We start from the raw sequence: 24,957 nt of genomic DNA, 5'->3' as shown, positions 1-24,957 counted from the left end.
GGATTGCTGTTTGTGTGTGTGTGTGTATGTGTGTGTGTGTTTTCCCAACCCCAACAAGATTCTTTGTAATTTGGCCAAAAATATTCGTGGTTTATTAATGATGCATTTTTTTTCCCTAAAGGGATAAAGTTAGGATTTCTAAAAACCTGAATGCTGCTTCCTCCTATGAGCATTAGCACCTACCTGAGTTCCTCAAAGTCTTATTAAAGCTAAAACTTTGATTGCAAACCTGGACTCCTACCTTGGCTAGCTGCAAAGGCATGCATGTGAGCCCTAAATTTTCCCTTTAGTCTTTATTTTTATGCTTAACCTAGAGGCAAACTCATGAAGTTGGCTTCATGGGTTAGCATCAACAGAATATTTTTCAAAAAAAGGACAGAGCAGGTGGAATGATGCAAGGGAGAGAAGGGAGAGGACATTTACCCTAGAGAAGAGTATGCTTGCATCAGCTTAGTTCAACTTTTAATTCTTTTCCACTTCCTGATAAAAGTTTTATGCCCCTTTCCCTTAACACCTAGGCATAATTTCTTTTCCTTAGGGGTGAAGCTTCAGCAGCATAGAAAGTGTCATGAATAAAATCTGAACAATTTTCCATGAGAAATTTCTTTTAAGAGTCCCATAGTAATATTCATTTCCTGTTTTCAGTGTTTTTTTTTTTTAACTGTTCTTCAATGTTTGATTTTCTACCCAAACTCTTACTTTTTTTTTTTTTTTTTTACCTGCTCTAGGTCATCTTCTGAGTGTAAGATTTTCCACTTTTCTTTAGCTACTTTAATTCTGAAATTCAAAAAGCTTTTTTCTAAATGTTATCTAGTGTAAACATATATTTAGTATTTCCACAAGTTTTCAAAGGAAGGAGCACATGATCAATCCTTTATGCATGAATTTCAGCATAATCAGACTAAAAATGTCAGAAAATGCCAGTCTAATAAGATAGAAAATTGGCCACAGTGATTTATTTCCCTGAGGCTGGAAGAAGTCTTCACAGAATTCAACAATTTCAGGGAGAGAATCTGAGAGCTCCGGTTTTGTTTTCCTTATGGCTTTATTTCTTAAACTGTACACACAATTTAAGCAATTATTCATTGCTTCTTTGCAGCCATTTCATCCTTTATTAACAATTGACCTGTCTGATAATTTTATTAGTCATTGTGTTTTAATGACTTTTTATGGATTATATACTAAGAAGTAAAACTACATGTTCCCCACTTGAAATAATGGAACTGCTTTAAGAAATCTATAAAGAAAAAAGCAAAACTAAATGATTGTTCATGATTAACAAACTTTTTTATAAACTTTTTTGATCTCAATGTCTCCTTATCCTTCTTATTTTCTTGTAACACCTATTTATACCATGAAGCAATAGTATTCTAAAGAACACACTGTGGAAATACTGAATTAGGTATACTCAGTCAAAAAATGAAATGTCTTCAGGTGGCTTTTTTTCATTAAGATCCTTTTGTTAAGAATACACAATTTAAATTGAAAAATATATGTCACATGACAGCATTACAGCAGAGGTACAGCATTTGCTGTGCTACTTAGATTGAATTTTCAGGGTTTCTGTACTTTATTGAATCCAAATTTGGATCTTCAACTTTGTACATTCAGTGGTTCAGTTTTATCAGTTGCATTCATGTGTTGTAAAAATGAGTTATGTGAGGGGCAGGGGAAGATGGCAGAATAGAAGGCTCCATCAATTGTCTCATCTGCAAAAAGAACAAATTTAACAACTACCTATATAAAAAAAAAGCATCTCCATAAGAACCAAAAATCAGGTGAGCACTCACAGTACCTGATTTTAACTTCATATCACTGAAAGAGGAACTGAAGATGGTAAGAAAGTCAGTCTTGAATTGCTGATGCCAGTCCTTTCCCATTTGCCCCACAGTGGCCACATGGTGCAGAGAAACCTGTGCGCTTGAGAGAGGGAGAGTGCAGAAATCATGAGATGCTGGGAATAGGCCCCAAGCCTGGCTATAAACAGGCCATGAGAAACTGGCCATAAACAAGATCTCTGCAGCACTGTGACATGCTTGTGATAGCTATGACGCACACGCTGGAGGTTGCTGGTTTACTGGAATGAGGGCAAGGAACACCTGGCCCACCCAGGACAGAAAAACCGCTCAAGGCATTCCTAAACCAGAAACAATGGCATGAGCGATCTTTGCCTTAAGGAGATGTTCCTGCTGCAGATAACAAGCCAGAGCCTGTCCCTTTATTCTCCATAAGAATACTTTTAGTTAATTTATAAACTGCAGAAATGATGTTTATCATGGTTTACTGTCAATAAATAGGTGGGTCAAACTCTGTTCAAGGCTCTCAGCTCTGAAGGCTGTTAGCCCCCTGACCCCACTTTGCACTCTATTTCTGTGTCTGTGTCTTTATTCTTCTAGTGCCACTGGGTTGGGGTTTCCACAACCGAGCTGGTCTGGGCAGTGAGACTTTGCATAGAACCTAGTGCGTGCTGCCCTGTCACAGTGGAAGGCAGAGCTGGGCTAACCTCAGCTGATGTCTGCCCATGAAGGGAGCATTTAGACTAGCCCTAGAGAGAGAGGAATCACCCTTTCCAGTGGTTGGAAGTTGAGTTGCAGCAAGCCTTGGCACCATGGGCTGAAGTGCTCTCAGGCTTGAAATAAACTTGAAAGGCAGTCTAGGCCACAAGGATTGCAGGTTCTAGTGCTGAGCTGGTCTCAGAACCAGTGACCTACAGAGACACCAGCCGGGGCAGCTAAAGGAGTGCTTGTGTTATCTCTCGCCAAGCCCCAGGCTGCACAGCTGGTGTCTCCAAAAGATACCCCTTTCTTCTGTTTGAGGAGAGGAGAGGAGAGGAAAGAGTAAAAAGGACTTTGTTTTGCATCTTGGATAACAGCTCAACCACAGTAAGAGAGGGCAAGAGTCAGTGTCTCGAGGCCCCATTCCAGTCCCTAGCTCACAAACAGCATTTCTAGACACACCCTGGACCAGAAGGGAACCTGCTGCCTTGAAGGGAAGAACCAAGTCTTGGCAGAATGCATCACCTGCTGACTAAAGAATAATTGGGCCATGAATAACCAGCAGCCATACCCAAGTGGTATGTCATGAGCCTTGGATGAGACTCTTAGATGTGCTGGCTTTAAGTTGGACCCAGCACATTCTCAGCTGTGGTGGCGTGTCCAGAATTGGTTCCTTTTGGTGGGTTCTTGGTCTCGCTGACTTCAAGAATGAAGCAGTGGACCCTCGCGGTGAGTGTTACAGTTCTTAAAGATGGTGTGTCTGGAGTTTATTCCTTCAGATGTTCAGATGTGTCCGGAGTTTCTTCCTTCTGGTGGGTTCGTGGTCTCACTTGACTTCAGCAGTGAAGCCACAGACCTTCGCAGTGAGTGTTACAGCTCTTAAAGGTGGTGTGTTCAGAGTTGTTTGTTCCTCCCAGTGGGTTCATGGTCTCTGACTTCAGGAGTGAAGCTGCAGACCTTTGCAGTGAGTGTCACAGCTCATAAAGGTAGTGCGGACCCAAAGAGTGAGCAGTAGCAAGATTTATTGTGAAGAGCGAAAGAACAAAGCTTCCACACTGTGGAAGGGGACCCGAGCAGGTTGCTGCTGCTGGCTCAGGTGGCCAGCTTTTATTCCCTTATTTGGCCCCACCCATGCCCTACTGATTGGTCCATTTTATAGAGCACTGATTGGTCCATTTTTCAGAGTGCTGATTGGTGCGTTTACAAACCTTTAGCTAGACACAGAGCGCTGATTGGTGTGTTTACAATCCTTTAGCTAGAAAGAAAAGTTTTCCAAGTCCTCACCCAACCCAGAATCCCAGCCGGCTTCACCTCTCCATCCCTCCTCTAAACAGGAGACCCCAGCTGCTGTTGGGAATTGGGTGATGACCATTCTAGCTACTTCCTGCTGGATAGGGGTAAAGAAGGGGCCCTACAGTTGTAGTGTTCTCCAGAGGGGAACTCTCTAGGCCAGTGAAAGGGCCAGCAAGTCAGTCCAGGGGTCCTTGGTAGAAGTCATTAGTTAAGCTCATTTGGGGTTCCATTTGTAAGATCATCTGTAGCTTGATGGCCTCGATCCTAGAGGAAACAAATTTGACAAGGAGGTTAAAAATACAGGGCCCAAAGGTGAGTAATAGCAAGATGGCTGCCATGGGACCTAGAAAGGGGAGAAGCCATGTTGCCCAATTCCAGAGGTTGGTATAAGAGTTTGAAAGGCTTTGTCTGATTTCAGAAGCCTTGTCCTGTAAATGCCGGTCAGTATCTCCTACTGTCCCTGACTGGTTAGTGTAGAAAGAACATACTTCCCCTAAGAAGGTGCAGAGTTGTCCTTTCTCAGCAGTGAGGAGGTCTAGGCCTCGGAGGTTTTGGGTAGTCACTGGTGCCAAAGAGTCTATTTGGGATTGTAGAGTAAGGATAGATTTTGTTATTTCTTGCAAACTGTCTGAGAAATCCTTTGAGAGTGTGTGGTAGTAGGATAATGAAGTAGATAAACTGACTATTCCGGTTCCTATAGCAGTAGCCATTCCTAACCCTATAAGTAGGGGTTTTAGTTGTATGGCTCTGTGCTGATGGACTTGAGCTTTGAGGGGTACTGATAGGGTCTGATTTCCTGGGACAATGTTAATGTTGGGACTTAGAAAGACTAAGGTGCAGGTGCCTGTCCAATTAGTGGGGAGGCAGATATAGGTCAACGTTCCACATAAGAAGGATATACCTTGGCTGAGTAGACAGAACGGATTGTGTATGTTAAAAAGGTGTGTGAGTTTGTTGTTTTCATCTTCCCATACTCCTAGAGTGCTTGCCAAGGTAGCTCCGGTGAGTGGTTGGAAAGGGGTATTTGGAGCAAACTGAGTGGCTCCCTGTGTTCTATTTTCCCATTGGAGAAAAAAACGTTTTGTGTCTACTAGGAACCATTCGAGAGAGTGATTGAAAGAAGGGATGAGAAGGCGTTCACTAGTGGTGGGATGCTGCTTCAGGGAGTCCAGGGATGAACGGTCATGCAGGGAGTATGTTTACCATTACAAAACCTGGACTGTTTGTTAAGCAGGGAGGAGGTGATAATTTTTGGGGGCCTTGAGAAGTGGACAAGCCATCTGAATGGAGCTGTTTGGGTGACTCAGAAGTTACTATGATCAGTTGGGGCTTGAAATTGTAGGGTGTAATTATACTGATGCGGTAGTAGGTGCCCCAGGGACAGGCCAGATAACAGGTTGCGTTGGATGCATAAAGGGGCTTGGAAAGTTAAGATGGTATTCATAGTTACAGGGCCGTGTATGGGCTTTTCGTTGCTTGTGTAATAGGTGAGGTTGGAAATGTAAGAACATAAAAGTTGGATTGCACATCCTGTAAGGGTATTCTTGGTCCTATCAGAGATGGGGGAGTTGGCTAATGATTGCATATTTAGAAGTCGGAAAGGGTCTTTTCCTTCATAATGAGGGTGGTAGGTTAAGTTGGTAAAGACCCAGTTTTTTGCAGGAAAGGGAGTGGCAACATAAGCAGAATTCGATAGAGAAATACAAAGCCAACAGTCATTTGCCAGGTAAGGACTGGACTGGTTTAACAGAGTGTGGGTTAAGTTGAGAGTCTTATAGAGATAATTAGGAGCTAGTGGAAGGGGAGGGGTGATTGCATGAGGTATCCAAGGAAGCAGGAGGGATAGATAGGCAAAGAGTAAATAGGAAGGTAAAGAGGGTCCCTGGAAGACGAGATCATCTTATCCAGTCTGAGTTAAAGGTTGGAGTAAGTTGCTGTCAGAAGGAAGGAAGATAGAAGGAAGGTTGATGTGATTAGGATTTTCATCTTGGAAGGAGCTACAGTGTATAGTCCTATCACAAAGAGTATGGTTAGTATGCTACTTAATAATATGATGAAATAATAAAAGGATTCCATTAAAGATAAAGATTATGTAGGTTTTCACTTATCTTTTTTAAGGAGGAAGGGGTTTTTCTTCAGGATCAGTGGTAGGAGCCTTTTTAGTCTGGGATGTTTCCTTCTGAAATAGGAGATGCAAGTCCTCCAATGGTTTGCAGGTGTACTGAGGCTGGTCTGGCTGATCTTGGGACTCCTGAGCTGATGGTACTGCAGGTTCCTCAGGGGGTATCCAAAATTTAACTCGGGTGTGGTGAATACAAGATTCCACTCCTGCCACCTTAACTGCAGTGGGGGTAGAGAGGATTACTGAGTATGGTCTTTCCCACAAAGAGTCCATAGATGGGGAGGTAGAGGGGAGAGATTTGACCAACACTAGATCTCCTGGTTGAAATGACTCTGTTCCCTTTTCTCTGTGACATCCTTCAGGTAGATTTTTAAGGTTTTGTTGATATTTTGCCAAAGAAGTTATATCTTTGACCAAGTTGGCCATTTCCTGATCAACTAGGAGTTCATTTGTGAGAAAACGTCATCCATACAACATTTCATATGGACTGAGCCCCATTTTGTGAGGAGAATTTCAGATTCTCAACAAGGCCATGGGCAAAAGAGTAGGCCATGGGAGATGAGTTTCTTGTGTTAGTTTCCTTAAGTGCCTCTTCAGTGTTTCAGTTGCCTTCTCGACCTTCCCTGAGGATTGTGGCCTCCAGGCACAGTGAAGGTGATATTGTATCCTTAGCGCCCTGGAAAATTCCCTGAGTTATCATGGCTTTAAAAGCCGGATCATTGTCACTCTGTAAGCTTTGGGGAAGCCCAAATCTAGGAATTGTTTCATGAATTAGAACTTTATTCACTTCCTGAGCCTTCTCTATCTTGCAGGGGAAAGCTTCTATCCAATTTGTAAAGGTATCAACACAGACCAACAAGTATTGAAATCCCTTTGACTTAGGCATATGAGTGAAGTCTAATTGCCAGTCCTCTCCAGGATAGTGACCTATCCTTTGTTCCCCCAAAGGGGCCTTATGATGGACCAAGGGATTATTCCTTTGGCACACCTCACAGGCTTTGACTACATGTCGGATGGTCCAGAGGAGATTTGGCCCTGTAAATAGGGATTTGGCCATTTGTTGAGTGTTTTCAATACCCATCTGAAAAGTTTGGTGGAGGGTTTTAAGTATTTTCCACTGGCTGGCTTCGGGTATAAGTACCTTTACTTCTTCTGTCATTAACCACCCCAAGGGGAGAAAACTATGACCCTGTGAAAGTCCCCATTCTGTTTCAGTCAGAGAATACTGGGGCTTAATCTCTTGGAGGGGGTTGTTCCATACCAAAGGTCCTTCTGTAGGTATTTCTAATGAGGGGTTCCACCTGGCAGCAATTTTGGCTTCAGCATTTGCCTGATGATTTCCTTTTGCCTTTTCTTTCCTTTTCTTTTCATTTTTTTTTGAGACAGAGTCTTGCCCTGTCCCCCAGGCTAGAGTGCAGTGGCACAGTCTCGGCTCACTGCAACTTCCTCCTCCCTGGTTCAAGTGATTCTCCTGCCTCAGCCTCCTGAGTAGCTGGGATTACAGGTGCACACCACCACGCCCAGCTAATTTTTTGTTGTTGTTGTTATTTTTAGTAGAGATGGAGTTTCACCATGTTGGCCAGGCTGGTCTCGAACTCCTGACCTTGCAATCTGCCCACCTCACCTCCCAAAGTGCTGGGATTACAGGCATGGGCCACCACACTCGGCCTCCTTTTACCTTTTATCCTTCACCTTTCTGATGGCTTTGACAGTGTAAGATTGCCACCTCCTTGGGTTTTTGCACAGCATGCAATAACCCCATAATTTAATGGGGGTTCCCCCAGAGGTTAGGAACTCCGTTTCTTTCCATATTGCAGCATGGGCATGTAGGATTAGATAAGCATACTTGCTATCTGTATACGCATTTATTCTTTTTCCCTTTCCCAGTTCTAATGCTTGGGTAAGTGCCACTAGTTCTGCTAACTGGGCTCTGGTCCCTGGGGGAAGAGGCTTATTTTCAAGTATGGTTACATCACTAACTATGGCATAACCTGCCCTTTGTATCCCATTCTCTGCAAATGAACTTCTATCGGTATATAGGTTAAGGTCAGGATCAGCTAAGGGGACTCCTAAGAGATCATCTCAGGCAGCATAAGTCTGGACTATAATTTGTTGGCAGTCATGCCTGATTGGTTCCTCATCCTCTGGGAGAAAAGTGGCAGGGTTGAGGGCCATGCACATACGTATTTGAAGCACTGGTTCCTCAAGGAGTAGTGCCTGGTATCTAAGCAGGCAGTTGTCTGTTAGCCATAAACTTCCTTGGCACCTAGTATGCCATTTATATCATGACTAGTCCAGACAGTGAGATCCTTTCCTTGTATTATTTTGATAGCCTCTGACACTAAGAAGGCCACTGCCGCAACGACCCTTAAACAGTGAGGACAGCCTTTTGCTACTACACCATTTTATTTACTTAGGTAGGCCACTGGTTGTGGGGTTGTCCCACGAGTTGGAGTAAGGAGTCCAAAAGCTATCCCTGCTCTCTCTGTGATGTATAAATAAACGTTTTGTGCCGTGGGAAGGCTTAAGGCTGGAGCTTGAGTTTATTCTTTCCAATGCCCAGATTTCAGGGTTGATTCCCTCCTCAAGTAGGGGACAACAAATGGGTAACTTGTTCCCCATATTCATGTAGATAATAGCTCCAGCTCTGGCTAACATATCCCTCCCTAATAAGGGTGTGGGACTTTCAGGCATAACAAGAAAGGCATGTGAAAAGAGCAAAGTCTCCCAGTTACAACTGAGGAGGTGGGAAAAATACCTGGTTACAGGCCATCCCAGGATTCCTCGGATGGTAATGGACCTTGAGGACAGCTGACCAGGACAGGAGATTAACACTGAGAAAGCTGTGCCAGTGTCCAGAAGGAAGTCAATTTCCTGGCCCTCAATGGTTAAACATACCTGGGGCTCAGTGAGGGTGATGACATGAGCTGGCACCCTCAGTCCTGTTGTTGAATCATCTGGTTGGGGGCTTTTGGCCCAGAGAACCTTTATCCTCTGGGGCAGTGTGCCTTCCAGTGATTGCCTCAGCATAGCGGACATGGGCGAGGGGGCAGCTTGTTTCTTGTTGGACAATCTTTTTTAAGGTGTTCTTGCAAACCACACTGGTAACAAGCCCTACTGGGTGACTGGCCTGCTCCATTTTCTGTCATCTTTGAACCACCAAGGTTTGTTTGTCTGAGGGCCATGACTAAGGCTGCAGCCTTTCTCTGATCTCACTTTTCCTTTTCGGCCTGTTCTTCTTGGTTGGTCCCAATTAGAGAACACCGAGGTTGCCAGGTTTAATAATTCCTCCAGATTTTGTTCAGGGCCCAGGGCTCACTTTTGGAGCTTTCTCCTGATATCTGCAGCTGATTGGGTAATAAATATCTTTTAGGATCTATTGGCCCTTGAGTGAGTCAGGTGACAGGGAGTGTGTTTTCTTAAGGCTTCCCATAGCTGCTTGAGGAAGGCAGAAGGATTTTCTTCCTTTCCCTGTGTTATGGTAGACATCATTGAGTAATTCATGGGCTTTTTCCTAATTCTTCTTATTCCTTCTAGAACGCAGGTCAACAGATGTTTATGACTCTAGTTCCCGTGATCTGAGTCGAGGTCCCAGTGGGGATCCATACTGGGGATGGCTTGCTGACCAGTAGGGAATGTGTCTCTTTCTTCAGCTGTCATTCTGTCATTTATTTCACTAAGATTCCATGTAACTCCAAACTCTCAGGATGCAGCTAAAGCCGCATTCTTTTCATTAAAGGCCAGGGTTTGATCTAACAATAGCATGACATCTCTCCAAGTGAGATCAAAGGTTTTCCCTAGACCCTGTAGGACATCTGTGTACCTATCAGGATCATCTGAAAACTTCCCCAGGTCTGCCTTGATCTGCTTTAAATCAGAGAGGAGAAGGGGACATGTACCCGGGTTGGGCCAAATTCCCCTCCCCCTACAGCTTGAAGGGGACATAACCAATAGCCTGGGGGTTTTTGTGGTCCCTTGGAGATTTCTTTGCTTATTTCCTTCTGGCGGGGGAGATTAGAGGAGGCTTATCATTAATGGGAAGGGGAGCTATAGGGAGGCTAGGATATGGGGGTAAGCTGAGAGGTCCTCCTGTGAGATATAAATTGCAAGCTTTGCATTGTTGTGTATTCTCCTTCAATGAAAAGAAAGCTTGGACATAAGGTATTTCACTCCATTTGCCTTCCCTCTTACAGAAAAGGTCAAGTTGCAGGATAGTATTGTAATTCATACTTTCCTCAGGTGGCCATTTTTCCTCATCAGAGAGAGAATATTGGGGCCAAGCCATAGTGCAGAAAAAAATGAGCTGCCTCTTTTTCAGGGTTTATGGATCAAATTGGTCCCAATGGCTTAGGATGCATTTCAAGGGTTAGCCTGTTGATGCCTGAGTGTTTCCCATCTGAAAGACAAAACCACCCTTGGTTTTGGTTGGTTTATTTCTTCCCCTGCCCAAGAACCTGCAACGGTCCCTGGACCCTGCTGATTGGAATAGTTGCACTCAACGACGCAGCAGCAGAAACACCTCTTGCCCAAGAACCCACAATGGTCCCTGGACTCTGCTGATCGGAATAGTTGCACTCACCGGTGCAGCAACAGAAACACTAGATTTCCTCCTAGACCACAAGGAGGACTGAGGAAGGTCGGATTTAGTGGTCCTTACTGATGCATTCTCGAAAACCTGCACCCTTGCCTGTCCTCCTAGACCACAAAGAGGACCGAGAAAAATCGGATTTAGTGGCCCTTACCGAGGCATTCTCGAAAACCTGTTAGAGTCCTAAGCATTCTCCTGTTAGTATTGGGACTTTACTTGTGTCCTATAAAGATGTTATGCCCCAAAAATGAAGTGGAGGGCCATACCCTGAGGGAGGGAAAGGATCTCCAGAGTTGGAAGAGTGATGCCTTTTGTCTTCACTTATATGAATAGGAAGGATACAATTTCTGAGGCTCCCCATATCCTAGCTTCAGGAATAGCTTTTGTTAGGCCTGCTGGTCTGAGAAGGGATCCTAAAATTACAGATTGTCCCCCCTACGATGGGGCTTTTGGCAAAAATTATGTCTTTCTGATTGGTGAGCCTGGGTGCCTAAAGAAGGGAAAATAGCCCTGGAGTTTATACTAGAAATCATTCCTATAGGAGAAACTAGAAAAGCACCAGAGACAGGGAGTGGTTTTTAAAAGTGGGACTAGCCTCAGAGAAGAGAGGCGAGAGGAAGTTTGTCTGACAGACATTAGGACCCAGGAGGCAAGGGTCAGGATAGATAGGATAGATGGGCTAGTCTCGCTTGGGCGACGTGACTTTGAGAGTTCCGCTCATGGCCGCAAGGTCAACCAACTTATTGTCAGATCCCTGGAGCTGAATGGCTTTCCTCTGTCTTGACCCTTGGCTCAGCTCAGAAGTACAGGAAAAGTGGAAGCTGGTTCCAGGCAAACCAACGCTCCCAACTCCAAAGAGTCAGGAGTTGTTAGAGAGCCCTTTCCCAGAAAGCCTGACACCCATGTCTTTAGTCCAGTGGCTGCGCTATTAGCTTTTAACTGGCTTACAGGTGCCCGGTATTTAGCCCCCGAATTCTAATGAAAAATAGGACAGAATAGCAAGCAAAAGGGGTCTGATGGTACTCACCACTTGGCGATAGGCGATAGTCCCTTCATGGTTGCCAAAATGTGTCCAGAATTGGTTCCTTCTGGTGGGTTCTTGGTCTCGCTGACTTCAAGAATGAAGCCATGGACCCTTGCAGTGAGTGTTTTAGTTCTTAAAGATGGTGTGTCCAGAGTTTGTTCCTTCGATGTTCAGATGTGTCTGGAGTTTTTCCTTCCAGTGGGTTTGTGGTCTCACTTGACTTTAGAAGTGAAACCACAGACCTTTGCAGTGAGTATTACAGCTCTTAAAGGTGGTGCGTCCAGAGTTGTTTGTTCCTCCCAGTGGGTTCGTGGTCTCGCTGACTTCAGGAGTGAAGCCGCAGACCTTTCCAGTGAGTGTTAGAGCTCAAAAAGGTAGTTTGGACCCAAAGAGTGAGCAGCAGCAAGATTTATTGTGAAGAGTGAAAGAACAAAGCTTCCACAGCGTGGAAGGGGACCCAAGTGGGTTGCTGCTGCTGGCTCGGGTGGCCAGCTTTTATTCCCTCATTTGGCCCCACTCATGTCCTGCTGATTGGTCCATTTTATAGAGTGCTGATTGGTCCATTTTACAGAGTGCTGATTGGTCTCTTTTTATAGAGTGCTGATTGGTGTGCTTACAAGCCTTTAGCTAGACACATAGTGCTGATTGGTGTGTTTACAATCCTTTAGCTAGACAGAAAAGTTCTCCAAGTCCCCACCCGACCCAGGAGCCCAGCGGGCTTCACCTCTCAATGGCTATTGTGAAAGGCTCTTTCTGCTTGAAAAAAACAGAGGGAAAAGTAAAAGGGACTTTGTCTTGTACCATAGGTACTAGCTTGTCCAAATTGGGGTAGAACATCAAGCAAGTTCTTGGGGTCCCTGATTCCAGGCCTTGGCTCTTGGATGGCATTTCTGGACCTTCCCTGGGCCAGAGGCCCCAGGCTTGGCAGCATTTACCACAAGTTGACTGAAGAGTGCTTGGGCCTTAAGGGAACACTGGAGCTAGACTGGCAGTGCTCCCCATGGCCCTGTGGTGTTGGTAGTCATTGGGTGAAGCTCCTCTGCATATGGAAAGGAAAGGAAGAGTGGGAATGACTGTGTCTTGTGGTTTGATTCCCAGCTTAGCCACAGTAGTGGAGAGCACCAGCTAGACTTTTAAGGTTTTTGACTCCAGTCTTTAGCTTCTAGAAAGAATCTCTGGTCCTGCTCAGGGCCTGGGGGAACTTGCTGCCTTGAAGGGAAGGACACAAGGCTGTCTGGCTTCACCACGTGCTGATTGTGGACCATGAGGACCTTGAGTGAACATAGGCAGTAACCAGGTAGTGGTTACAGGGGGCCAGTACAGCAAGACCCAGTGCTGTACTGGCTTCAGGTTTGAACCAGCACAGCTCAGTGGTGGTGGTCACATGGTTGCTTTGTTATCCCACTCCCAGCCCCAGGTGGCTCAGGAAAGAGAGAGAGACTGACTCTCTTTGGGAAAAAGCAAGGGAAGAGAAAAAGAGTCTCTTCCTAGTAATTCATAGATATCTTCCAGATCTTATCCAAGACCACCAAGGTGGTACCTCTATGTGTATGTAAGAACTACAGCATTGCTGGGATCAGGATACCCCATATTACAGATATAGCTTAGAGCACAACACCTAAGTTTTTCCAAATATCTGGAAAAGCTTCTCAAGAAGAACAGGTGCAAACAAGCCCAGATGCAAAGACTACAATAAATATTTAACTTTTCAATGCCCAGACACCAATAAGCTTCAGCATGTATGAAGACCATCCAGGAAAACATGACCTCACCAAATGAACTAAATAAGGGACCAGGAACCAATACCAGAGAAACAGAGATATGTGACCTTTCAGACAGAGAATTCAAAATTGCTATTTTGAGGAAATTCAAAGAAATTCAAGATAATGCAGAGAGAGAATTCAGAATCATATCAGGTAAGTTTAACGAAGAGATTGAAATAATTAAAAGAGTCAGGTAGAAATTCTGGAGTTGAAAAATGTAATTGGCATACTGAAGAATGCATCAGAGTCAGATAGCAGAATAGATCAAGCAGAAGAGAGAATTAGTGAGCTTAAAGACAAATTATTTGAAAATATACACTAAGAGAAGAAAAAAGAAAAAAGAATAAAAGGAATGAAGCATGTCTATAGGATCTAGAAAATAGCCTCAAAATGGCAAATCTAAGAATTATTGACCTTAAATAGGAGGTCAAGAAAGAGAGGGGTAGAAAGTCTATTCAAATGGATAATATCAGAGAACTTCTCAGACCTAGAGAAAGCTATCAATATTCAAGTAAGAGAAGGTTATAGAACACCAAGCAGATTTAACCCAGAAAAAACTATCTCAAGGAATTAAAGAATCAAACTTTCAAAGATTAAGGATAAAGAAAGGATCTTAAAAGCAGCAAGAGAAAAGAAACAAAATACAATGGGTCTCCACTATGTCTGGCAGCAGACATTTTAGTGGAAATCTGGAAGGCCAGAAGACAGTGGCATGGAACATTTAAAGTGCTGAAGGAAAAAAACCTTTTATCCTAGAATAGTATATCTGGTGAAAATAGTCTTCAAATATGAAGGAAAAATAAAGACTTTCCCAGACAAACAAAATCTGAAGGATTTCACCAATAACAAACCTATCCTACAAGAAATGCTAAAGGAAGTATTTCAATCAGAAAGAAAAGGACATAAATAAGCAATAACACATCATCAGAATGTACAAAACTTACTGGCAATAGTAAGTATACAGAAAAACACAGAATATTATAACACTGTAAGTGTGGGTATAAACTACTGTCATCTTAAGTAGAAAGACTAAATGATGAATTGATCAAAAATAATAACCACAACAATTTTTCAAGACATAGACAGTACAGTGATATATAAATTGAAAAAATGAAAAGCCAAAAAATGGGCAGACAAGTTAAAGTGTAGAGTTTGTATTGGTTTTCTTTTTACTTGTTAGTTTGTTTATGCAAACAGTGTTAAGTTTTTATCAGCCTAAAATAATGGATTATAAGATAGTATTTGCAAGCCTCATGGTAACCTCAAATAGAAAAACATACAATGAATACACAAAAAATAAAAAGCAAGAAATTAAATAATATCACCAGAGAAAATAACCTTTGCTAAAAGGAAGACAGGATGGAAAGAAACAAGGAAGAAAAGACCACAAAAACACCAGAAAACAGATAACAAAATGGCAGAAGTAGGACCTTACCTATCAATAATAACATTAAATGTAAATGGACAAAACTCTCCAATAAAAGGACATATAGTGGCTGAATGGTTAAAAAAATAAGACCTAATAATATGTTGCCTACAAGAAACACACTTCACCTATAAAAACATACATAGACTGAAAATAAAGAAATGGAAAAAGATATTCTATGCCAATGTAAAACAAAAAGTAGAAGTCACTATACATAGACAAAAGAGATTTTAAGACAGAAACTATAAGAAAAGACAAAGTTATTATATAATGATTAAATTATCAATTCATCATCAAGAAGATGTAACTTTTTTTTTTTTTTGAGACAGAGTCTCACTGTCTCCCAGGCTGGAGTGCAGTGGCGCGATCTCGGCTCACTGCAAGCTCTGCCTCCCGGGTTCACACCATTATCCTGCCTCAGGCTCCCGAGTATCTGGGACTATAGGTGCCTGCCACCACGCCCAGCTAATTTTCTTATTTTTATTAGAGATGGGGTTTCACTGTGTTAGCCAGGATGGTGTTGATCTCCTGACCTCGTGATCCACCTGCATCAGCCTCCCGAAGTGCTAGGATTACAGGCATGAGACACAGTGCCCGGCTAAGAAGATGTAACTATTATAAATATATATGGACCCAACACGGGAGCACCCAGATATATAAAGCAAATATTAGTACTATAGAAAGAGATAGAGCCCGATGTAATAATAACTAGAGACTTTAAGTTCCCATTTTCAGCATTGGACAGATCTTCCAGAGAGAAAATCAATGAAGAAACATCAGACTTAATCTGCACTGTAGATTAAATGAATCTAATAGATACTCAAAGAGTATTTCATCAGTTGGTTGCAAAATACACCTTCTTTTCCTCAGCACATGGATAATTCTCAAGGACTGATGATACGTTGGCTCACAAGTCTTAAAACATCAAACATATTGAAATAATATCAAGCATTATCTCTGACCAGAAGATTTTTAGTTTTCTGAAAAAGCTAGAAATCAATACCAAGAGGAATTTTGGAAACTATACAAGCACATGGAAATTAAACAGTATGTTCCTGAAGGACCAGTGGGTCAATTAAGAAATTAAACAAGCAATGGGGAAAGGATTCCCTATTTAATAAATGGTGCTGGGAAAACTGGCTAGCCATATGTAGAAAGCTGAAACTGGATCCCTTCCTTACACATTATACAAAAATTAATTCAAGATGGATTAAACACTTAAACATTAGACCTAAAACCATAAAAACCCTAGAAGAAAACCTAGGCATTACCATTGAGGACATAGGCATGGGCAAGGACTTCATGTCTAAAACACCAAAAGCATGGCAACAAAAGCCAAAATTGACAAATGGGATCTAATTAAACTAAAGAGCTTCTGCACAGCAAAAGAAACTACCATCAGAGTGAACAGGCAACCTACAAAATGGGAGAAAATTTTCGCAACCTACTCACCTGACAAAGGGCTAATATCCAGAATCTACAATGAACTCAAACAAATTTACAAGAAAAAAACAAATAACCCCATCAAAAAGTGGGCGAAGGACATGAACAGACACTTCTCAAAAGAAGACATTTATGCAGCCAAAAAAACACATGAAAAAATGCTCAGCATCACTGGCCATCAGAGAAATGCAAATCAAAACCACAATGAGATACCATCTCACACCAGTTAGAATGGCAGTCATTAAAAAGTCAGGAAACAACAGGTGCTGGAGAGGATGTGGAGAAATAGGAACATTTTTACACTGTTGGTGGGACTGTAAACTAGTTCAAACCTTGTGGAAGTCAGTGTGGCGATTCCTCAGGGATCTAGAACTAGAAATATCATTTGACCCAGCCATCCCATTACTGGGTATATACCCAAAGGACTATAAATCATGCTGCTATAAAGACACATGCACATGTATGTTTATTGCGGCACTATTCACAATAGCAAAGACTTGGAACCAACCCAAATGTCCAACAATGATAGACTGGATTAAGAAAATGTGGCACATATACACCATGGAATACTATGCAGCCATAAAAAAGGATGAGTTCATGTCTTTTGTAGGGACATGGATGAAATTGGAAATCATCATTCTCAGTAAACTATCACAAGAACAAAAAACTGAACACCGCATATTCTCACTCATAGGTGGGAATTGAACAATGAGAACACATGGACACAGGAAGGGGAACATCACACTCTGGGGACTGTTGTGGGGTGGGGGGAGGGGGGAGGGATAGCATTAGGAGATATACCTAATGCTAAATGACGAGTTAATGGGTGCAGCACACCAGCATGGCACATGTATACACATGTAACTAACCTGCACATTGTGCACATATACCCTAAAACTTAAAGTTTAATAATAAAATAAAAAATAAAATAAAAAAACACCAAAAAAAAAAAAAAAGAAATTGAGAAGGAAATTGAAGAAATTCTTGAAATAAATGATAATGGAAACACAACTTACCACAACCTGTGGGATACAGTGAAAGTAGTATTAAGAGAGAAGTTTATAGCTATAAGTGGCTACATCAAAAATCATGCCAATTAAAATGGATTTTATCCAAATGACAGGCAATAAGAAATGCTGGAAAAGATGTGGAGAAAAGAGAACCCTCTTACACCATTGGTGGGAACGTAAGTTAGTACAACCAATATGGAGAACAGTTTGGAGGTTCCTGAAAAGCTAAAAATAGAGCTACCATATGATCCAGCTATCCCACTGCTGGGTATACACCACAAAGAAAGGAAATCAGTAGGCCAGGTGCAGTGGCTGACGCCTGTAATCCCAGCAGTTTGGGAGGCCAAGGCAGGCAGATCATGAGGTCAAGAGATTGAGACCATCCTGGCTAACATGGTGAAACCCCGTCTCTACTAAAAATACAAAAATTAGCTGGGTGTGGTGACACGTGCCTATAGTCCCAGCTACTCGGGAGGCTGAGGCAGGACAATCACTTGAACCCAGGAGGCGGAGGTTGCAGTGAGCCAAGATCGCGCCACTGCACTCTAGCCTGGCAATAGAGCGAGACTCCGTCTCAAAAAAAAAAAAAAAAGAAAAAAAGGAAATCAATATATCAAAGGGATATCTGCACTCCTATGTTTATTGCAGCAGTATACACAATAGCCAAGATTTGGAAGCAATCCAAATGTCCATCAACAGATGAGTGGGTAAAGAAAATGTGGTACATATACACAATGGAGTACTATTTAGTCATAAAAACAAATGAGGATCCTGTCATTTGCCACAACATAGATGGAACTGGAAGTCTTTATGTTAAGTGAAATAAGCCAGGCATGGAAAGACAAATATCACATGCTCTCACTTATCTGTGGGATCTAAAAATTAAACAATTGAACTCATGGACGTAGGGAGAAGGATGGTTACTAGAGACTAGGAAGAGTAGCTGGGGATGGGTAGAGGGAAATGAGGATGGTTAGTGGGTACAAAAAGTACAAAGAATGTATAAGACCTAGTATTTGCTAGAACAGCAGGGTGACTATAGTAAAAAATAATTATGTCATACATTTTAAAATAACTAAGAGCATAATTTGATTGTTTGTAACACAAAGGATAAATGCTTGAGGTGATACATACCACATTTATGATGTCATTGTTACACATTGCATGCCTGTATAAAATATCTCATGTAACCCCAAAATATATACACCTAATCTGTACCCACAAAAATAAAAAATAAAAAATTAATTAAAAAATAGGTCACAGGACTGAACTCATAAGACCTCAATTTATGGAATGATTTATTTTTTTTTTATTTTTTATTTTTTTATTATACTTTAAGTTTTAGGGTACATGTGCACATTGTGCAGGTTAGTTACATATGTATACATGTGCCATGCTGGTGCGCTGCACCCACTAACTTGTCATCTAGCCTTAGGTATATCTCCCAATGCTATCCCTCCCCCCTCCCCCAACCCCACCACAGTCCCCAGAGTGTGATATTCCCCTTCATGTGTCCATGTGATCTCACTGTTCAGTTCCCACCTATGAGTGAGAATATGCGGTGTTTGGTTTTTTGTTCTTGTGATAGTTTACTGAGAATGATGATTTCCAATTTCATCCATGTCCCTACAAAGGACATGAACTCATCATTTTTTGCTGGAGAGGATGTGGAGAAATAGGAACACTTTTACACTGTTGGTGGGACTGTAAACTAGTTCAACCATTGTGGAATTCAGTGTGGCGATTCCTCAGGGATCTAGAACTAGAAATACCATTTGACCCAGCCATCCCATTACTGGGTATATACCCAAATGACTATAAATCATGCTGCTATAAAGACACATGCACATGTATGTTTATTGTGGCATTATTCACAATAGCAGAGACTTGGAACCAACCCAAATGTCCAACAATGATAGACTGGATTAAGAAAATATGGCACATATACACCATGGAATACTATGCAGCTATAAAAAATGATGGAATGATTTATTTATTCATAAGTGATAATCCTTCTAGTTAAGAAATGATTTATATAATGTAACATTTTCCAAAATATTTATATGTTACAAAATTCAGCCAATTTATTTCATTAATTTCATTGTGATTTACCAGGAGAAAAATAATGTAAGCAATGTGAGAGATTGATATCAAAACAGACAATGGCAAGGCCATGTATGAAAACAGAACTCTAACCATCATCTCTGTAGCAACCAGCCTGGGAAGACAAATCACAATCTCCACAGCTTTTGACCTGATACTTTATGGGTAAAAGAGAGAGAGAGGATAAAAGGAAACCATAGCAGTTTGTTTGTTTGTTTGTTTTTTGGATGGGGGGTGCTAGTCTAAAAGATACCTCTGATGACATTTGGTAGTTAAAGAAAGCACCAGTGTAACAGCAGACCTTTCTTCTCATTCTGTCAATAATTAAAACTTAAATTAGAAAACAGGAATTAGAATGGAAAATCATCATTTACCTGAACTACAAAACCTAGAAGAACATTCTTAAATATTTCCAGAACAAAACAAGACAGATCCAGATCCACAAATAAATTTATGGACCTACAGAACAAAAAGTGGGTGGCCCACTTCCTAACAGACTACCTATTAACAAGGATACATGTAGAGATTATCAACAAAAAGAACACTAGAGAAAAAAGGATTGATCCATCTTAGAAAACCAAAGCAAAAAATATCCCTCAATTCAGATCAGTGAGGATGCTTATCACAAACTCTGGCTGAAGTTATTGATAACACCGGATATTAATGATCTTAGATGGACTACAGCTCATTCTCGTCTTGTTGTCATGAGTAGCTCTAGATTTCTGGCTGGCTAGTCATGGTGGTGTCTTTGCCATTGTGAATATTTATTGCTGTATTTGGATGAATAAAACAGGCAAAGTAAAATAGACTATACATCATCTTAAGGAAAAAGCTATTTGGCTGTCTAAGGTTGGTCAATCCTTATGGCCTATGGGATTTATTATTTTGATCTAAGTTGTACAATTGGGGTCCCCAGTTCTGAAGTATTTTACAAGGATTATTAATTGTTCTTCTTTTTGTCATAGTGGTCATGATGCTTGTATATCACATTCTACCCAAAGTTGCAAATGCTTCTGTGCTGCCACTCTCATCATAAGATGATCTGCATGATGATACAATAACAAAAGGGCCAAGAAGATCTCACAGTTCAGCTGACTTTGGAAACAGCTGGCTAACACCTGAGTGCTGTTTTAGCAACTAACTTGATTAGACTCAGACTGCAAACAATTTTTTATCTTTAGTGGATGCCAGCTCACATCTCAGTTCAGTTCTTTTATCCTTCACTGAGTTGCTTACATTCCCCCTTCTGTATTCAAGGTTCAAGGGTCAACTTAAGACTTACACAGAGTTTATATAAGGTACTACAGCTTGTCTTCTCAGGTTCTTTCATTTTTGGGGATTCCCCTCTTACTTTCCATAGGCTGTGGTTGCCCTAGACACTGTCCTGTGAATGTTCACACCACAAAAAATATTGCTTTCTCTATCAGAGTTTTAGCAGTTCCATGCTACTCTGGGACTGTGCCCTGTCCTCAATCTAGTACTGTAAAAATGAGAATTTGCTGGATGACAGCCTTTTTTTCTTTGATTCAATCTTCAAAATCTGCTGGCTTTTCTTCAGTCTCTAGAAGCTTCATGTAGTCGCTTTTTATTTTTTTCCTCAGGGTTTATTGCCAGAATAGATATGTATGGTATGATTAGAGAGGTCTAAATTTATTATCTTTCCATATGGTTGTCAATCATATATCTGAAATTTGGAGAAAAGACCGTTCTTTCTACACTGCATTGGAATGACACTGCATGTAGAATGGCTCCATGCGTGTATCTGTATTTCAGTTTTTTATTTAGCACTTTATTCTGTTTTGTTGGTCTATTTATCAATCCTTGTTTAATACTATGCTGTCATGATTACTGGCAATAAGTCTTGATATGTGATAATCTTGATATTTTAAGTTTTATTCTCCTTCTTTAGGGTTATCTTTGCTATTTATTTTACCCATTTCATTTCCATATAGAGTTTTGAATTGGCTTGTCAATTTTTATTTAAATTTCTACTTGGATTTTGATTAGGATTATGTTGACTCTATGGATTGATTTGGGGATTATTGACATCTTTTCATTATTGAGTCTCTCAGTTCATGCTAATCATCTAAGACTTCTGAAGTTTAATTTTTTAACTACATAGCTCTCTATGTCCACCAACTTGCCCTTATCTTCCTTTTTGTTGACTTATTTTTATATCTACTATTTAGAGTTTTAAAAGCTGATCAAAACTTCTGAACAAATGGGTTAACTTTTCGACTTTAGCCTATTTTGGTAGAGGGATTAGGTAAGTTTTTGCTGAGGCACTCCAATATCCAGTATCTTTAGATATTTTATTCTGGCTGATTGGCTTTCTTAAGTATAAGGCTTATTTTCTCTTCAGAAGTTAAAGTTCTGTTTGCCAGAATTATGGGAAGTGAGTAAGAGAAGGAAGTAGGGTATCTCAGTATACTATCTGCATAAGGTCACTTAACTCACCTATTTTTGTAACTTTACCAATACCCTTAACTTTGCCTTGTATTCCCCAGGCTAGATATCCTGTTATTTTATTCTATCCACTTCTGAATTATTATGGGTAGGGTAGAATTAGTTGCTCAGAAACATATGATAGTAATGGGGATTAGAAATAGGATTTTCATACAGTTTTCATCATATCAGTGTTATTTAGCATTCTCTTTGAGCTACATTTCAGAGGTATTTGGAACTGCCAGTTTCTAAGCCTTTTAATACCCGCAGTGAAAATTAGGTTGTTCTCAGTTTTCACCCTTATTTGCCTAGTATTCAGCTCTGTACTCTGCTAAGTTGTTTACCATTTATCCATCTCCTTTCTAACTGCCAATATTTTGGGTGTTGTCTGTTTTTCTGTTCTTACTCTTCCTGTGGGTTAACTTAAAAAAAAATCCCTTTTTAAAATCCCTTACTGTAGTTTTAGTTGCATTTGGGAAGGAGTAAATTTCATACTTTTGTTCAACCAATCATGTTAATTTGGACTACGGTATCTCCATGTTCAGGGACATTCCTACAACTCCTTACAGAGATGTATTTAACACCATAGTTATAATAGCATCATGCTTACAAACAGACATTTAAATTAGCTATGTTTTAAAAATATACACTATCCATCTTATAATGATTTTTATGATATATCGAAGGGAACAATTTCTGATATTTTTCTTTTTTTGCCCATTTTTATTTTTTATTTTTTACTTTTTTTAATACTTTAAATTCTAGGGTACATGTGCACAATGTGCAGGTTTGTTACATATGTATACATGCACCATGTTTTGTGTGCTGCACCCATTAACTTGTCATTTACATTAGGTATATTTCCTAATGCTATCCCTCCCCGCTCCCCCCACCCCACAACAGGCACCGGTGTGTGATGTTCCCCTTCCTGTGTCCATGTGTTCTCATTGTTCAATTCCCACCTATGAGTGAGAACATGCGGTGTTTGGTTTTTTGTCCTTGCGACAGTTTGCTGAGAATGATGGTTTCCAGCTTCATCCATGTCCCTACAAAGGACATGAACTCATCATTTTTCATGGCTGCATAGTATTCCATGGTGTGTATGTGCCACATTTTCTTAATCCAGTCTATCATTGAGGGACACTTGGGTTGGTTCCAAGTCTTTGCTATTGTGAATAATGCCGCAATAAACATACGTGTGCATGTGTCTTCATAGCAGCATGATTTATACTCCTTTGGGTATATACCCAGTCATGGGAAGGCTGGGTCAAATGGTATTGCTAGTTCTAGATCCTTGAGGAATTGCCATACTGCCTTCCACAATGGTTGAACTAGTTTACAGTTCCACCAACAGTGTAAAATTGTTCCTATTTCTCCACATCCTCTCTAGCACCTGTTGTTTCCTGACTTTTTAATGATCGCCATTCTAACTGGTGTGAGATGGTATCTCACTGTGTTTTGATTAGCATTTCTCTGATGGCCAGTGATGCTGAGCATTTTTTCATGTGTCTTTTGGCTTCATAAATGTCTTCCTTTGAGAAGTGTCTGTTCATATCCTTCGCCCACTTTTTGATGGGGTTGTTTGTTATTTTCTTGCAAATTTGTTTGAATTCTTTGTAGATTCTGGATATTAGCCCTTTGTCAGATGAGTAGATTGCAAAAATTTTCTCCCATTCTGTAGGTTGCCTGTTCACTCTGATGGTAGTTTCTTTTGCTGTGCAGAAGCTCTTTAGTTTAATTAGATCCCATTTGTCAACTTTGGCTTTTATTGCCATTGCTTTTGGTGTTTTAGACATGAAGTCCTTGCACATGCCTATGTCCTGAAAGGTATTGGCTAGGTTTTCTTCTAGGGTTTTTATGGTTTTAGGTCTAACATTTAAGTGTTTAATCCATCTTGAATTAATTTTTGTATAAGGTGTAAGGAAGGGATCCAGTTTCAGCTTTCTACATATGGCTTGCCAGTTTTCCCAGCACCATTTATTAAATAGGGAATCCTTTCCCCATTTCTTGTGTTTTTCAGGTTTGTCAAAAATCAGATGGTTGTAGATGTGTGGTATTATTTGTGAGGGCTCTGTTCTGTTCCCTTGGTCTATATATCTGTTTTGGCACCAGTACCATGCTGTTTTGGTTACTGTAGCCTTGTAGTATAGTTTGAAGTCAGGTAGCGTGATTCCTCCAGCTTTGTTCTTTTGGCGTAGGATTGTCTTGGCAATGCAGGCCCTTTTTTGGTTGCATATGAACTTTGAAATAGTTTCTTCCAATTCTGTGAAGAAAGTCATTGGTAGCTTGATGGGGATGGCATTGAATCTACAAATTACTTTGGGCAGTATGGCCATTTTCACAATATTGATTCTTCTTATCCATGAGCATGGAATGTTCTTCCATTTGTTTGTGTCCTCTTTTATTTCGTTGAGCAGAGGTTTGTAGTTCTCCTTGAAGAAGTCCTTCACATCCGTTGTAAGTTGGATTTCTAGGTATTTTATTCTCTTTGAAGCAATGGTGAATGGGAGTTCACTCATGATTTGGCTCTCTGTTTGCCTGTTGTTGGTGTGTAAGAATGCTTGTGATTTTTGCACAATGATTTTGTATCCTGAGACTTTGCTGAAGTTGCTTATCAGCTTAAGGAGATTTTGGGTGAGACAATGGGGTTTTCTTGATATAAAATCATGTAATCTGCAAACAGGGAGAATTTGACTTCCTCTTTTCCTAATTGGATACCCTTTATTACTTTCTCCTGCCTGATTGCCCTGTCCAGAACTTCCAACACTATGTTGAATAGGAGTGGTGAGAGAGGGCATCCCTGTCTTGTGCCAGTTTTCAAAGGGAATGCTTCCAGTTTTTGCCCATTCAGTTTGATATTGTCTGTGGATTTGTCATAAATAGCTCTTATTATTTTGAGATACATCCCATCAATACCTAATTTATTGAGAATTTTTAACATGAAGGGCTGTTGAGTTTTGTCACAGGCCTTTTCTGAATCTATTGAGATAATCTTGTGGTTTTTGTCTTTGGTTCTGTTTATATGCTGGATTACGTTTATTGATTTGTGTATGTTGAGCCAGCCTTGCATCCCAGGGATGAAGCTGACTTGATCAGAGTGGATAAGCTTTTTGATGTGCTGCTGGATTCAGTTTGCCAGTATTTTATTGAGGATTTTTGCATCCATGTTCATCAGGGATATTGGTCTAAAATTCTCTTTTTTTGTTGTGTCTCTGCCAGGCTTTGGTATCAGGATGATGCTGGCC

The 24,957-nt window shown here is 40.9% G+C and overlaps 1 annotated feature.

The window, feature by feature from the left end:
* Positions 2,012–2,206: a silencer, noted in NCBI's record as "fragment chr5:129979122-129979316 (GRCh37/hg19 assembly coordinates)". NCBI's record gives its function as "represses an EF-1alpha promoter that drives an FKBP-Casp9 reporter gene in an ReSE screen in K562 erythroleukemia cells {active_cell/tissue: K562}" and the evidence as "EXISTENCE:reporter gene assay evidence [ECO:0000049][PMID:32094911]".

This window comes from Homo sapiens, chromosome 5, assembly GCF_000001405.40.
Source record: "Homo sapiens chromosome 5, GRCh38.p14 Primary Assembly".
Lineage (NCBI taxonomy): Eukaryota > Metazoa > Chordata > Mammalia > Primates > Hominidae > Homo > Homo sapiens.
The sequence above is the reverse complement of the archived record's forward strand: the minus strand, read 5'-3'. Positions and strand labels throughout refer to the sequence as shown.